The 13,025-nt window shown below is 51.5% G+C and overlaps 1 long non-coding RNA gene across 1 annotated transcript, besides 2 other annotated features; it reads left to right on the top strand.

Moving 5' to 3' along the window:
• Nucleotides 6,976-7,848: an enhancer, noted in NCBI's record as "H3K4me1 hESC enhancer chr10:5638569-5639441 (GRCh37/hg19 assembly coordinates)". NCBI's record gives its function as "activates a minimal SCP1, AML or CMV promoter by ChIP-STARR-seq in primed H9 embryonic stem cells {active_cell/tissue: H9 hESC(primed)}" and the evidence as "EXISTENCE:reporter gene assay evidence [ECO:0000049][PMID:30033119]".
• Nucleotides 8,134-8,428: an enhancer, noted in NCBI's record as "tiled region #6566; K562 Activating DNase unmatched - State 8:EnhW". NCBI's record gives its function as "activates a minimal TATA promoter and a strong SV40 promoter by Sharpr-MPRA in K562 cells {active_cell/tissue: K562}" and the evidence as "EXISTENCE:reporter gene assay evidence [ECO:0000049][PMID:27701403]".
• Nucleotides 8,336-9,470, top strand: LASTR (lncRNA associated with SART3 regulation of splicing). Its single transcript, NR_134491.1, has 2 exons — nucleotides 8,336-8,443; nucleotides 8,875-9,470. It is a non-coding gene; the product is annotated as a lncRNA associated with SART3 regulation of splicing (long non-coding RNA).
• Nucleotides 9,471-13,025: the final 3,555 nt, after the last annotated feature.

Genomic DNA, 13,025 nt, shown 5'->3' with positions numbered 1-13,025 from the left:
TTCCCTCCCAGGATCCTGCCCTGGCTAATGACATTGAACCTGCATCATGCATCTGCACCGCCTCCCGGAGTCCGAGGACCGTGCTGCACAGCCTCCTTCTGGGACTGAAGTTGGAGGAGTGAGAAGGGAGGGTTCCCTCCTCCTTCTGAAGTCTGAGGACAGGCTCCTTCTGACTGAGGAAAGGAAACATCATTATTGCTTATGAGAGGATGGGAAGGGAACCACCCCCCACAGAAGGCAAACCAGTCTTGGCGTCTCCAGGAAGCTCGGCATCTGGAGAGTGGTTGGCTACGCTGGTGTCTCCTCTCTCTCTCACTTTTCCTCGACTGTACTTACAGAAAAGTGTGCATGCCGTGAGTGTTCAGCCAGTTGAAGTTTTATAAGCGGAGCCCACTCTGAAGCCATGCCCCGCCGGCATCCCAGACCCTATCCGCGCCCCTGCCCCGGGCGGCCGCCATCCGGTTCCCAGAAGCAAGGCTGGCTCTGCCTGTCCTTGGACTTCATACACTGGCAGCAAACAGCGTGTGCCCTTTTGTTTCTGGCTCTTTTGCTCAGTGGTGTTTGTCCCACCTCTTTGGAGGGATCTAAAACCCAAGCAGGGTTACCAGTGTGTGGGTCCCACAGGCAGCTTCCCAGTAGGATGTCAGGAAAAGAAAGGTGATGAGCTCAGAGGCAACTTAAGCCCAAAGCCAGAGAGACCAATGTTGTCTCCAGAGCTGGTCCCCACAATGTGGTGCAGAGCTCTGACCACTTGTCCCCAGCATGCAGGCTGCGCAAGGCTGGGGGAAGTCCTCCTGTCCTGGTGGCCCCAGAAGCCAATGGAAGAGGCGTGACTTCTCAGGGCCCCCAGCACTCTGTCACATTCACACACGCTTTCCTGGTGCTAGGAACTGAGTGTTTGTGTCTCCCCCAGATTCCCACGTTGAAATCCTCACCCGCGTGAAGATGGTGTTAGGAGGTCAGACCTTTGGAAGGTGATGAGGTCATGAGGGTGGAGCCCCAACGAATGGGATTAGTGCCCTCATGAAAGAGACACAAGAGAGATGATCTCTTTCCTCCGATTGAGGACACAGCAGGAAGCCTGCCCGTCTGCAACCAAGAAGCCAGCCTGCAGCAGAATCTGACGGTGCAGGCGCCCGGATCTCAGAACTGCCAGCCTGCAGAACTCAGAGGAGAGACATGTCTGTTGTTTGTAGGTCACCCAGTCAGCGGTTCTTTTTATAGCAGCCTGAACTGACTAAGACACTTGGGAAGGCTTGTTCCTTTTTGGTTTTGGTTCTTGTTTTGTTTTAACCTAACCAAATTCTTGACCCAGTTATTTAGAAAAGAGAAGCCATGTCTTCTGAGGCGCCAGTCTTCAACAGGGAAGGCCTCCAGTGGTCTCGGAGTCTGCTGTTTGCTAGGTTGGGAGAAGCTCCTGCACTTCTTAAAACCCTTCTAAGGCAACTTATAGATCATGAAAGCCATGAAATCATTGTTTTTTAATTGTTTCTCACACTATTAATTCAGGAGGGAGATCTTTACCTTTCATCCTATTTTGTGCACGAGGAAAAAAGTAGGAATTGAGGTCAAGTTAGGCAGGGACCTCGGAGTCCTTTTGGGAGTGTAAGGGCTGGCCATGCCAACAGATAAGATGGAGCTTTTTACAAAAATATTTATTTATTTTAAAATAGAGATGAGGACTCACTAAGTTGCCTAGGCTGGTCACGAACTCCTGGCCTCAAGCAGTCCTCCTGCCGTGGCCTCCCAAAGTGCTGGGATTACAGGCGTGAGATGGATCTTGTTGTGACACTGTCGGCATGAGTGTGCGGTCGCCACACAGTCTTGGTGACTTAGCCTTTCATGTTAGCTGTGATTAGGGTTGTGTCGTTCATGAGAACAGCTCTGGAGAAAGGCCTTGGGTAAGGCATGAAATGGTTTTTCTCTTCCTTGAGCTTCATTTATTTTTCCCCCTCAGGATGCTTGCAGATGTTAGGACTACGCCCACATGCTAAGAGCACCTGGGAAGGTGATGGGATTCCTGTGGGCTCCTTATCAGGTGGACTCAGGAAGGTGGTGGACTTCCTGTGGGCCCCTCTTCAGATGTGCCTGGGAGGGTAATGGACTTCCTGTGGTCCCCTCATCAAGTGGGCCTGGGAGGGTGATGGACTTCCTGTGGTCCCCTCATCAAGTGGGCCTGGGAGGGTGATGGACTTCCTGTGGACCCCTCATCAGGTGGGCCTGGGAGGGTGACAGACTTCCTGTGGGCCCCTCGTCAGACGGGCCTGGGAGGGTGACGGACTTCCTGTGGGCCCCTCGTCAGACGGGCTACTTGCCCACCCCGTGTCTGCATTGAGGCTGCAGCAGGAATAGCACATTGGAGCTTAAAGCAGAGTGCTGATGTGTGCACCGCATTCTTCCAGGGCGGCTGTGGTGTTGAAAGCTCATTTGGCCAGGGTTGAATTAGCAGAGTGCATTGAGAAATGGAACTCAAGCCCAGTGTGATCTTCTGGGAAAAGCTGACACCAGGTAGGCCAAAAGCCAACATCAAATCCACACAGTGGCACCACCGACTGCAGTCGGGGAGAGAGCCACATGCTCCAAATTGGGTGAAGGTGGGGTCTGGAGAAGGCAGATTAGGAACAAATGAAGGGGGCTCAGGGGCTTCTGTGGCTGCTTTGAAGATTCCAGACCAGTGTTACGGGCAGGGGGTGCAAAGCCTGGCTGGTGTTAGGACTCCTGGGTCCCATCCTGGCAAGTGAGGGCCTGGTCAGGGGAATGCCAGCTGCAAGGGGCTCCCCTCTAGAGTCCCAGGGCAGAACTCTGCTTTGCTAGTCTTTCCCAAGCAGGAGGATGGCTTTGCCAGCCTCAGCGCATGCACCCAGTTCTGAGCGCTGTCTGGCATCTCAGCAACTACTCGCTAAACGTGCCGATTTGGTTGAGTCCTAATAGCCAAGGGAGGAAGTGGTCAGAGTGGGCCAGCCCTGAGTGCAGCTCACTGGTGGGGATTTATCGGGGCTGTCTATTGCTTGTTCTCCTCCATAGCAGCATGTGGGAAACAGAGGCATTTCCGGTGTCCAGGTGACCTTGTGAAAGGGTCTTTTTAGTATTTTTTAAGATAGGGTCCGCTCAGGCTGGAGTGCAGTGGTGTGATCATAGCTCACGGCAGCCTCCAATTTCTGGGCTCCAGTGATCCTCCCGCCTCAGCCTCCAGAGTAGCTGGGATGACAGGCTCACACCACCATGCCTGGCTAAGTTTTGTATTTTTTGTAGGGATGCAGCCTCGCTATGGTGCCCAGGCTGGTCTTGAAATCCTAGCCTCTAGTGACCTGCCTGCCTTGGCCTCCCAAAGCTCTGGGATTAAATGCGTGACTCACCATACCTGGCCCCAAAACGTCTTAATTCCAGACCCTCCTTGCTCACTGGAAACTCCTTTTCTGATGCCTTGGGTGAGCTGTGGTCTTCATCGTGGCCTCCCTTTATTTTTTTTTTTCCAGCTATCTACATTTTCACTTATTATCTGATTTTGAGGAGACTTGGAAATTTATAACATTTCTCTATGGCTCACCCACCATCTTGGGTCTCTAAAATTCACTTCCAGCAGGGCCAAGGAAATATTGAAGACTACACTGTTGTTTTTCCAAATGTTATCACAGGAGCAAGAGCTGAAGACCAGAATCTTCCTCCCGTCTTCCCTTCATGCTCATTCTCTCTCTCTCCCCCTCATTCTTCCCCAGTCTCTCTCCCACCCCTCTCTTCTCTCTTTCCCTGGGCTACACAATGATAACATACAAAATAGAAACAGAAAACTAAAATTAGATGTGTGTGACCAAGGATCCTGCTTTGAGCAAAGGAAAAATAAACCATACCCACATTTCTATTTTTCCCAGGACTTGAAGAACAACCTTGGCTATTTGGGCAGTTGGCTATTCCTGGGAACATTTCAGAAATAACTCATGTTTGTTTATTATTGAGTATTTATAACAGTTTCAGAGTAGGTTTCCAATAGCCCCACGGAGGACAGCGTGGGCTCCGGGAGGGATGGGCAGGAGGGCCTCTGGCCAGGAGGCGGGAAGGGCACCATCACTGCTGGGTCTCACACCCCCACCTGCTCCTTCAAATTTCTGCTTGCTGAGGCCACAACACAGGGGTGACTTCCCGAAACACAGGGCTCGGAGCTTTGTTTCTCTGTGAGTCTTCCCTGAAAGGACGTAAGAGCCTAAATTGGATTACTTCTTGCATTTGATGGAGTGTGGTGCACACACACACACACACACACACACACACACAGGCAAACACTCTGTGCTCAGGCATGGATTAGAGGTGACATTTCTGGAGGCATGAATGGATGGCGGATTCCTGAGCAATCACCCACAGACCTGTGCGCCCAGGAATGCCGCCGGCTGCAGGGCGCTGACATCACCCCTCTCCTCCGGGCCCTGGGAGAAGTGCTCGGACCCCAGGTCTCAGGGCGGTTATTTTTCGCCAGCAGACCGATGCTGTGGCATTCTCACGGTGTGCTCCAGGGAGCCAGGCTTTCGGGGAGGGCCCCTTTGGCCTTTTGAGCTCCCAGTCTCTGCCTCTGCTGTGAAAGAACCAAGAGTTACAGGTGGTTAAAGGTGGAGGGGACTTGGGACCCGTTTGCTCAGCATCTTCCACTGGTAGATGAGGCCAGAGGTCAAACAGCCTACTCAAGGTCAAACAGCCTGTTCAAGGTCAAACAGTCAGCGACAAAGCCACTGTCCCCTTCAGCTCGCCCCTGCACTGCTCTTTGTTTATTACAGTGATCCTCAAACAAGGTAGTCTCAGGACTCACTTTGTACTCTGAAAAACCACTGAGGCTCCCGAGGAGCTCTTGTTTATATGGCCGCATCTATCAATGTATGTTGCATTAACAATTACAGCTGAGAAACTTAAAAAATATGCATGTATTAATCTATCAGTCGATTAATAAACCTGTTGCACACCAACATCAAATATTCTTATAGGAAATAATTATATTTTTTCAAGACAAAAGAATTCAGTGAAAAGAAGGGCATTATTTTACATCTTGCAAGTCCTTTTAATGTATGGCTTAATAGAGGACGTTAAGGTTGTCATATCTCCTTCCGCATTCAATCGGAATTGAACCGCGTGTCATGTAGCTTCTGGAAACTTCACTGTGAGAGAATGAGAATGAAGAAGTCAATTAGTGTCTTAGGATTATTATGAAAGGATCTGGAACCCTTCAGCTGTTCCTCGGTGACACTTTGAGAACCACTGGCCAATCGTATGTTTCTGTTGCCTCTCCGGCAGCACTCTTTTTGACTCTGGCCCACGCAGTCGTTCGATAAACATGCATTGAGGAACTACCAGGTGTTAAGCTGGGAATTTAAAAACAAATGTCGCATATGTAAATGCTGGTCCAAAAACTCAGTTGCAGAAGAAATAGAGCACACTTTATTTTCCTGTAGTAACTTGACATCTGAGTGCAGGTCCGGGTGGCAGGGTCCTGGGAAATTCCAGTCAGTCCTTCCCCGGCTTTCTCCACCCAAAGACTGTGGGGTAACCTTGGGGGTCTCAGGGCCCTCATTTCCTTGTGGGGCCTTTATGCTCTGTGTGCACGGGGGCAGCTGAGACTCCGAGGCCTGGTCTCATGGCACTCTGGCTTCCCGGGCAGGAGGTGAAGGAGGTGGGGGGGTCCATCTGCCCTCTCCAGAGTTCAGCTCTGTCCCTCAGAGGAGCTGAGAACATGGGCACAGTTCCCCAGGGTGCATGTTCTCTCTCTCCCGTCTCATTCTCTCTCGTTCTCTCTTGTTCTCTTTCTCTCTCCTCTTGTTCTCTCTGTCTTGTTCTTTCTCTCCTGTCTCTCTCTTGTTCTCTCTCCTTCTTCTTTCTCTTGTTCTCTCTCTCCTCTCTCTTGTTCTCTCTCTCTCGTTCTTCTCTCTCCTCTCTCTTACATTCTCACTCTCTCATCTCACTCTCATTCTCTCCTCTCTCTTGTTCTCTCTCTCTCGTTCTTCTCTCTCTCTCCTCTCTCTCTTGCATTCTCACTCTCTCATCTCTATCTCATTCTCTCCTCTCGTTCTTTCTCTCTCTCTCATTCTCTCTCCTCTCTCTCGCTTTCTCTCTTGTTCTCTCTCATTCTGTCTCTCTCATTCTCTCGTTCTTCTCTCTCTCTCTGCTTCTCTCTCTTGTGTTCTTGCTCTCTCTTCTCACTCTTATTCTTGCTTTCCTCTCCCTCGTTCTCTCTCTTGTTCTCTTTCTCTCTGATTCTCTCCCTCGTTCTGTCTCTCTCGTTCTTCTCTCTCTCTCCTCTCTCGTTCTCCTTTTCTCTCATTTTCTCTCTCCTCTCTCTCTTGTTCTCTCGTTCTCTTTCTCTCATTCTTCTCTCTCTCTCCTTCTCTCTCTTTCCCTCTGTTGTTGTTTCTACCTCTCCCTTGGCTGCTTCCTATCAGGCCTGATTAATCTCTTGTTGGGGAGATCCTTCTCCCCTCAAGCTTCTTCAAGCCCTCTCTGCCCACTCCACCTTCCCCTTTCTCCCAGGGGCTTGGGGTTTTAGAACCAAAAGCTAGAAAAATGTGCAGGCTGTTTCTGCCCCGGCCTGCCTCACGCCTCCCTCAGGATTAAATGAGATAATAGTACATGTGCCTGGCTCACACAAGGACCCACTGAAGCCGCTGTTGGTGTCCTTGCGATTTGTACTCAGGGATATTGAGGCAGAAAGGTAAACAGGGAAGAGGAAAGGGGAAAATTCAGGGAGAGGAAACCTGAGGCATTCACATTTCAACACAGGCCATGACAGCGGCCCCTGGTCCCTGGTCTTCTGCAGCTGCTGGGGTCCCTCAGTACTAAAGGGAGGGGTGGGGAGCATCCCCCCATGAGGGGGGCATCCCCTGCTGCCCTCTCCTCAGCCACTCTCCTTTCTCAGGTCATGGCATGGATTTCATTTCCAGGAAATCCACTTCTAGCTCACTCGTCAGCAGGCCCAGTTGAAGGGACACAGCCTCATGGGGTCTCAGCAGGCCCCATTGGTGGAATGAAGCCTTGTGGGACCAGCACTCCCGGTTGGTGGGACGCAGGCCTGTGAGCTCAGCAGGCTCATTTGGTGGGACACAGCCTCATAGGGTCTCAGCATCAGCAGAGCTTTGGAGCCTCCAGTCCCCTCTGACACTGCCCTGCTGGGACTGCCCAGCCTCTGCTCAGACGCTTCCAGGGATGGGCCCTTCCTTTCCGGCTCCTGAGTCCTCCTCCTGGTGACTCGCCTGCTGCCCCAGGCGTTTTCAGGGGTGTCAGTCCCTATGTGTCCTCATCTGTCTAGGACCAGTGCCCCTGGGAGCACATGCCTGGCCGTCTGCTGGGAGCCGCTGGGCCAGCCCTGGGTAATTTCTGTGGGACATGCAGACCACGGCGGGCGCACCCTGTAGGTAGTCAGTAATGGCTCACGGATGACGGGTGTGAGCTGGAGCAGCAGTGGGCAGGGGCAGCTCACCTCTTTGCAGGAGGCGGGTGGGGCGGCCGCTCCGGGTGGCTGAAACCGATGGGGCAGGGCTGTCTTGACCACAGCTCGGGCCCAGGCTGCTCATCATCACTCCCTTTGCCCACCTGGATGGGGCTGCTCATGCATGGCCACTACGAACTGCACTCTGCATGTGTGTATGTGTGTGTATGTGTGTATGTGCATGTGTGTATGTGTGTATGTGCATGCGTGTGCGTGTATGTGTGTATGCGTGTGTGTGTGTGTGTGTGTGTGTGTGTGTGGTGGCCTGCGCTCTGTACACACAACCGCCCAGCAGAGAGAAAGAAGAGCACGGGATGGGAGAATCTCCTTTCTTTCCTCTGACGCTGTCAAGCCTTGTGGGTAAATCTGGAAGACGTGGTTGGTGGACAGTTAAGATTCCATTAAAAATGGGAAAGAGCCCCTGCATGTTGCCTTTAGGCCGTGATGCTCACAGCTGGATGAGTGTCTCGCCTGGCTGGTGCTTGCTTCCTTTGAACTCCTTTGCGAAGCAGGCTGGTGGTCTCCCGTGTGGGGATCAGACATGGCATTGGGTCCTGGCTGCACCCCACAGCTGGACCCCGAGCTCTTGTGAGTCTGGGCAGCGTCACCCTTCTGTTCTCCTGGAGTGGAAACGGGAGATGGGTGGATATGTTGCAGAAAAGCAGGATGACGGCAAGCCCCGAGGGCCCCAGCCTGGGTTTCCTGCACAGGCAAAGCTACTTGTGGGGGCTTGAGTGAAGAAGCCACAGTATATTACAACTCAGGAAAAAATCCACATTGTCTGTCCTGAGCAGCCTCATGGGAGGTGAATTAGAGGTGAGTCAGATGCCTTCGGGGGAGGAAATGACTTATCAGGCTGAACTTCCTTCAAAGTACGTCCATCCATCACTTGCAGAAAACAAAAGAGAGCAAGAGAGAAGACAGTGGGTGAAGTCCTGGTTCCAGACTCCCCTTTTTGCCGGGATATGATGGATCTGTCAGCTGGTGAGGCCCCTCTAAGAGGGGTGGTATCTTCGGGCCAGGTCAGGCCCATCTGGGAGGCTCAGGCATTTCCTGCAAGGGTGAAGGCCGCTCTCCATGCACTTTTAGGGTCCCCTGCTCCCACAGCGTAGCCACCCTGGCTCTTCTCCTGGTGAGAGTCTGCCTTGAGGGCTGAACGGTGCCACTGAGGAGCTGGAGAAGCTATAGCTTCCCATGGCAGCTTTTGTGGCCGGGAGTCCTGGTTCAGTCCTGTGCCTAGGGATTCTTGCTATTGCATGCATGCTTGTCTTAGACGGAAAGCTGGGGGAGGCACAGGACTTTCTGTCCGAAATGTTTTGTGCAGTGCTCAGCATGGTTCACCTCTCCTCACTGCCCCAGTATGATGATTTCTGCAAGAGTTTATCCTGATGATTCTATTTCCCCACTTTATAAAGGTGCCTAGAGTCCTAGAGAGCTAGAGATGGAGGGAAATTCAGATCATCTAAACCCTTCAGCCCTTCACTGGACAGAAGAGGAAACTGAGGCTCCATCTGCATGACGTTCCCAGAGTCACGGCACAAATTCATGGAAGAAGCAGCAGGAAACTCAGTTCTCCAGTCTGGGTCCAATGTGTGTTTTAGAAATATCTCCACAGGGTTAATGACTCAATTTTTCATGCATGATTGCTAGTAATGACAATCATGTTATGTTTGTTTCTGTAGCTTTGGAAATCACTCCTTCCACTTGAGTTTCAGGTCCCAACTGTCCACACCTGCAGGAGTGAGGTTTTGCTGAGACTGATAAGGCACTCACATTTTGTGGGAGTTGAATTGTCTCTGTAGCCTAGAATCTAGATTTTTTTCCCTCCTCTGCTCTCAGTGAACGGAGAATTCCATCTCGGTACAATCTGTGAACCATTCTGCAGTAAGATTGTCATCGTCTCATTCATACTACCTGGTCGGTAACACAAAGGGCTGTAATTGATGTGGTTCAGAGACTCACATCCAAGCAATAAAAATGAATCCCTTATGGTGGTCTGCAGCAACGCAAATGGATCCAGTGTCTGGCTTTAATGGGAGTGGGGAAATTGCTAACAGATGACGGTAACTTTCAGAGACAGACAGACACAGAGAGAGAGAGAGAGACTCTGGCCTTCCAGCTGAAACCACTTCTGATGGCAGCTCTTCCTCCCACATGTGCCTCACAGACGTCGAATATTTACGGGATGCCCTGAGCCCAGCCCTGCTCAGGGTTTAACAGCAGGGGCCATGTGTGTGTGACGGCTGAGGTCACGCAGTCGTTCATTTCAAGCTGTAGAGACATTTGGTTTTAAAAACCCCAGTGCCTCCACTGGGATTGGCTTTCGGAGAAGAAAAACAGCTCCTGAGTTCTTTTCCTGTCCAAGCCCGGGTGGGATCATGCTGCATTGCCAGCCTCCATTAACCCTTTGGGGCTGAGAAAGTTCTTAAACCTTGTGACTTTCTCCCGGTGATTTTTGCCTTTTTGAGGAAGCTGTGTGAGCTGCAGTGATTTCCTGTGAGCTCAATGAAAATGTGTCTGATGTGTATGCACCTGAGCTAGAAAGCCCAAAGACTGCTAAGAAGCCATGTGAGGGCTCAGAAACAAACATGTTGGGGCTTCGAAAGCCTGTTTTTGGAACCACTTTCCCTGTCTGCAAGGCAGAGGGAGGGAGGTACTCTGTTATTTCTAAGTCTCTCTTGAGCTCTTACACTGTGCAAGCCCATGAACGTATTTAATCGTGCATTAGACAATTGTTTTTAATCTATGCCCTGCCTCTCCCAAGATCAACCTTTCCCTGAGATCGGGGCCCCCTCTGGGTGCACAGGGATATTTTTATTTTTTGAGTTGGAGTTTTGCTCTTGTCACCCAGGCTGGAGTGCAATGGCATGATCTTGACTCACTGAAACCTCTTCCTCCCGGCTTCCAGTGATTCTTCTGCCTCAGCCTCCCAAGCAGCTGAGATTACAGGCATGCACCACCACACTCGGTTAATTTTTGTATTTTTAGGAGAGATGGAGATTCACCATGTTGGCCAGGCTGGTCTTGAACTCCTGACCTCAGGTGATCCTCCCGCCTTGGCCTCCCAAAATGCTGGCATTATAGGCGTGAGGCACCGTGCCCAGCCCATAGGGATATTTTTATATACTTTCCTGCCCCATGGGTCAACTGTTCTTGAACCAAAGAAACAAGAGGCGGGGAAGTTATAGGAAGCTTTTAAAATATGCTTCTGTGCAGCACTGCTCGCAGCGTGTCACAGATGTGCGGTATTGGAAGACGAAGGTGAAACTGCATGGAGATGATTGTGTGGGGGATGAGGAGGTGGTGGGTAGGGGACTTGGCTTTCTTCACACAAAGACATCCAGGCAAATGGTAAGTCCAAAAGCCGTGTGACAGATAATGGCCATTGTTCCTGCAGGGTGACTCTTTTCTTTTCTTTTTTTTCTTTTTGAGGCGGAGTCTCACTCTGTCATCTATGCTGGAGTGCAATGGTGCGATCTTGGCTCACTGCAACTTCCGCCTCCCAGGTTCAAAGTATTCTTTTGCCTCAGCCTCCTGAGTAGCTGGGATTACAGGTGCCCACCACCACGCCCAGATAATTTTTGTATTTTTTTTAGTAGAGACAGGGTTTCACCATGTTGGCCAGGCTGCTCTTGAACTCCTGACCTCGTGATCCGCCCGCCTCAGCCTCCCAAAGTGCTGGGATTACAGGCGTGAGCCACCATGCCCGGTGACTCTTTTCAGTCCAAAGAGTCATCATTGTCACTAGACCACCTTTGAACATGGACAGCAACAGCACTATCTAATATTAACTTTCCCTGAATCAATACCCTCGTTTGACAAATTATAATTTAACAAAAATATGTTTATGTGTAGAAAAAAGACTAGAAGGATGCAGTGTCTCCGTGGGTGAGAAAACACGTGATTTCTGTTTTATTCTCACTCACTTATATTTTCTAAATTTCCTACTGAAAATGTTAATGAATTATTTAGGTAATGAGAACACAATCTTAATCATGTTTAATTGGTTCATAAGGAACGACAGAGCTTGGCAGCTTCTTGCAGGGTGCTTTCTGCCATCCCCAGCTGAGACACCAGTGGGGCTCGGAAGCTGCCCTCCAATGACAGCTGGTGATGACGGGGACACGGCCAGCTCCCTTCTCCTCCCTCTCCGTTGTGATCCGGGCAATTCCATGTACTCCTTTTCCTAAATCAAGAACACTCTTGATTTCTGGCATTAATACCAGCTCCTGACATAGGACCATGTTGCTCCCTCCTTCAAATCTTTCAGACTTCCCTGCACCGTGGCCCTGAAGGGCCCTCCCCTCCTTCCATGGCACTGAGCTTCCAAAGAGCATGGTGGACACCAGGCCACACTCTTTCTTGTGCTGTCCTCTTAATATTTCAGGTCCATTTGTCGGCCACGCCTCCCCGAACCTTCCCACATACCACCTGAGAGAGAGTGGGAATCATGCCATCTCTTCCATTAATGGTAAAGTTAGTACTAATGGTCTAGCTTGGTGCTTCATGTATATTAAGCTCTGAGAAATAAAGGCAAAATGCAGCTGTGTTTGAACTGCACAGATAGCATCGTGCCTGGATCCTGAGAATCTATAAGATGAAGACTTCAAAGCACGGTGGGCAGTTTGCCAAATATCCGAGGAAGAGAAAGTTTCCGGAAAGCAGGGGTCTAACCCCTAGGAGCAGGCATGCATGGGGGCTGGGTGGGAATCCATGCTGGCCTCCATCACCTGTTCACATGTGTCCCTGGGTGGCCGTGGAGAAGTTGTTGCTGGGTAATGGGGGGCTGGAGGTGCTCCCAGCAGGAAGCCCGACGGGAAGTGCAGGCTAGGGTTTTCCTCGGGTACAGGAGAAAGGGAATGGGAAGGATCTTCTCTGAGGTACAACAGGCAAGAACATGGTCCAAGATCCTGTGACCAGCATTGGTCCAAGCTCAGTCGACATAAGCTCCTAGCAGCGGTGGCATCTGGAGTTTGGAGGTTGTGAGTCCCTGCACCAAGTGGCTCCAGCCTGAGTCTCTGCCACGTTCTAGGGATACATCTGCCAAGGTGTGTGTTTGTGTGTGTGTGTGTGTGTAGTGTGCGCGTGCACGTGCAGAGGCCACACAGAGGCTGGGCTGGGGGCTGATGCAGCCTTCCCTTTGCTGCTAGCCCTGCTCCGGCTCACTCATCTCCCACAGCTGTCAGGAAAGAGAGCAGCAGGTGAAAGCAGGCCCGGCTCCTTGTTCCTGGGGAGGCTTAGCTACACCAGCCACCCCTCTGCCTGCCGTGTGGACCTCCAGCTCAGCATTGTCCCTGCAGGAGGCCAGCCCTTGGGGCACCTGGGCCTGGAAGGCTGAGGTACTGCACCCACCCTTGAGGGTTCCCCGCATCTATGCCAGGAACACTGCCTTGGGCTTCCTGAGGGGCGCCGTGAGATACAGGGACAGATGCGGGCAGCCCTCTGGGAGCTCAACTGGGGCCCTGCGGGCTGTGGGGTCAGAGAGCGCATTCCACCTCTGCAGGCCGCCCTGTCACCCAGCAGGGCAGCCTGCGGCACTTAGTGTCTCTGGTTGGTTTGTCAGCTG

The sequence above is a fragment of the Homo sapiens genome, chromosome 10 (genome assembly GCF_000001405.40).
Source record: "Homo sapiens chromosome 10, GRCh38.p14 Primary Assembly".
Taxonomy (NCBI): Eukaryota; Metazoa; Chordata; class Mammalia; order Primates; family Hominidae; genus Homo; species Homo sapiens.
This window is presented reverse-complemented; position numbering and strand designations above follow the sequence as displayed.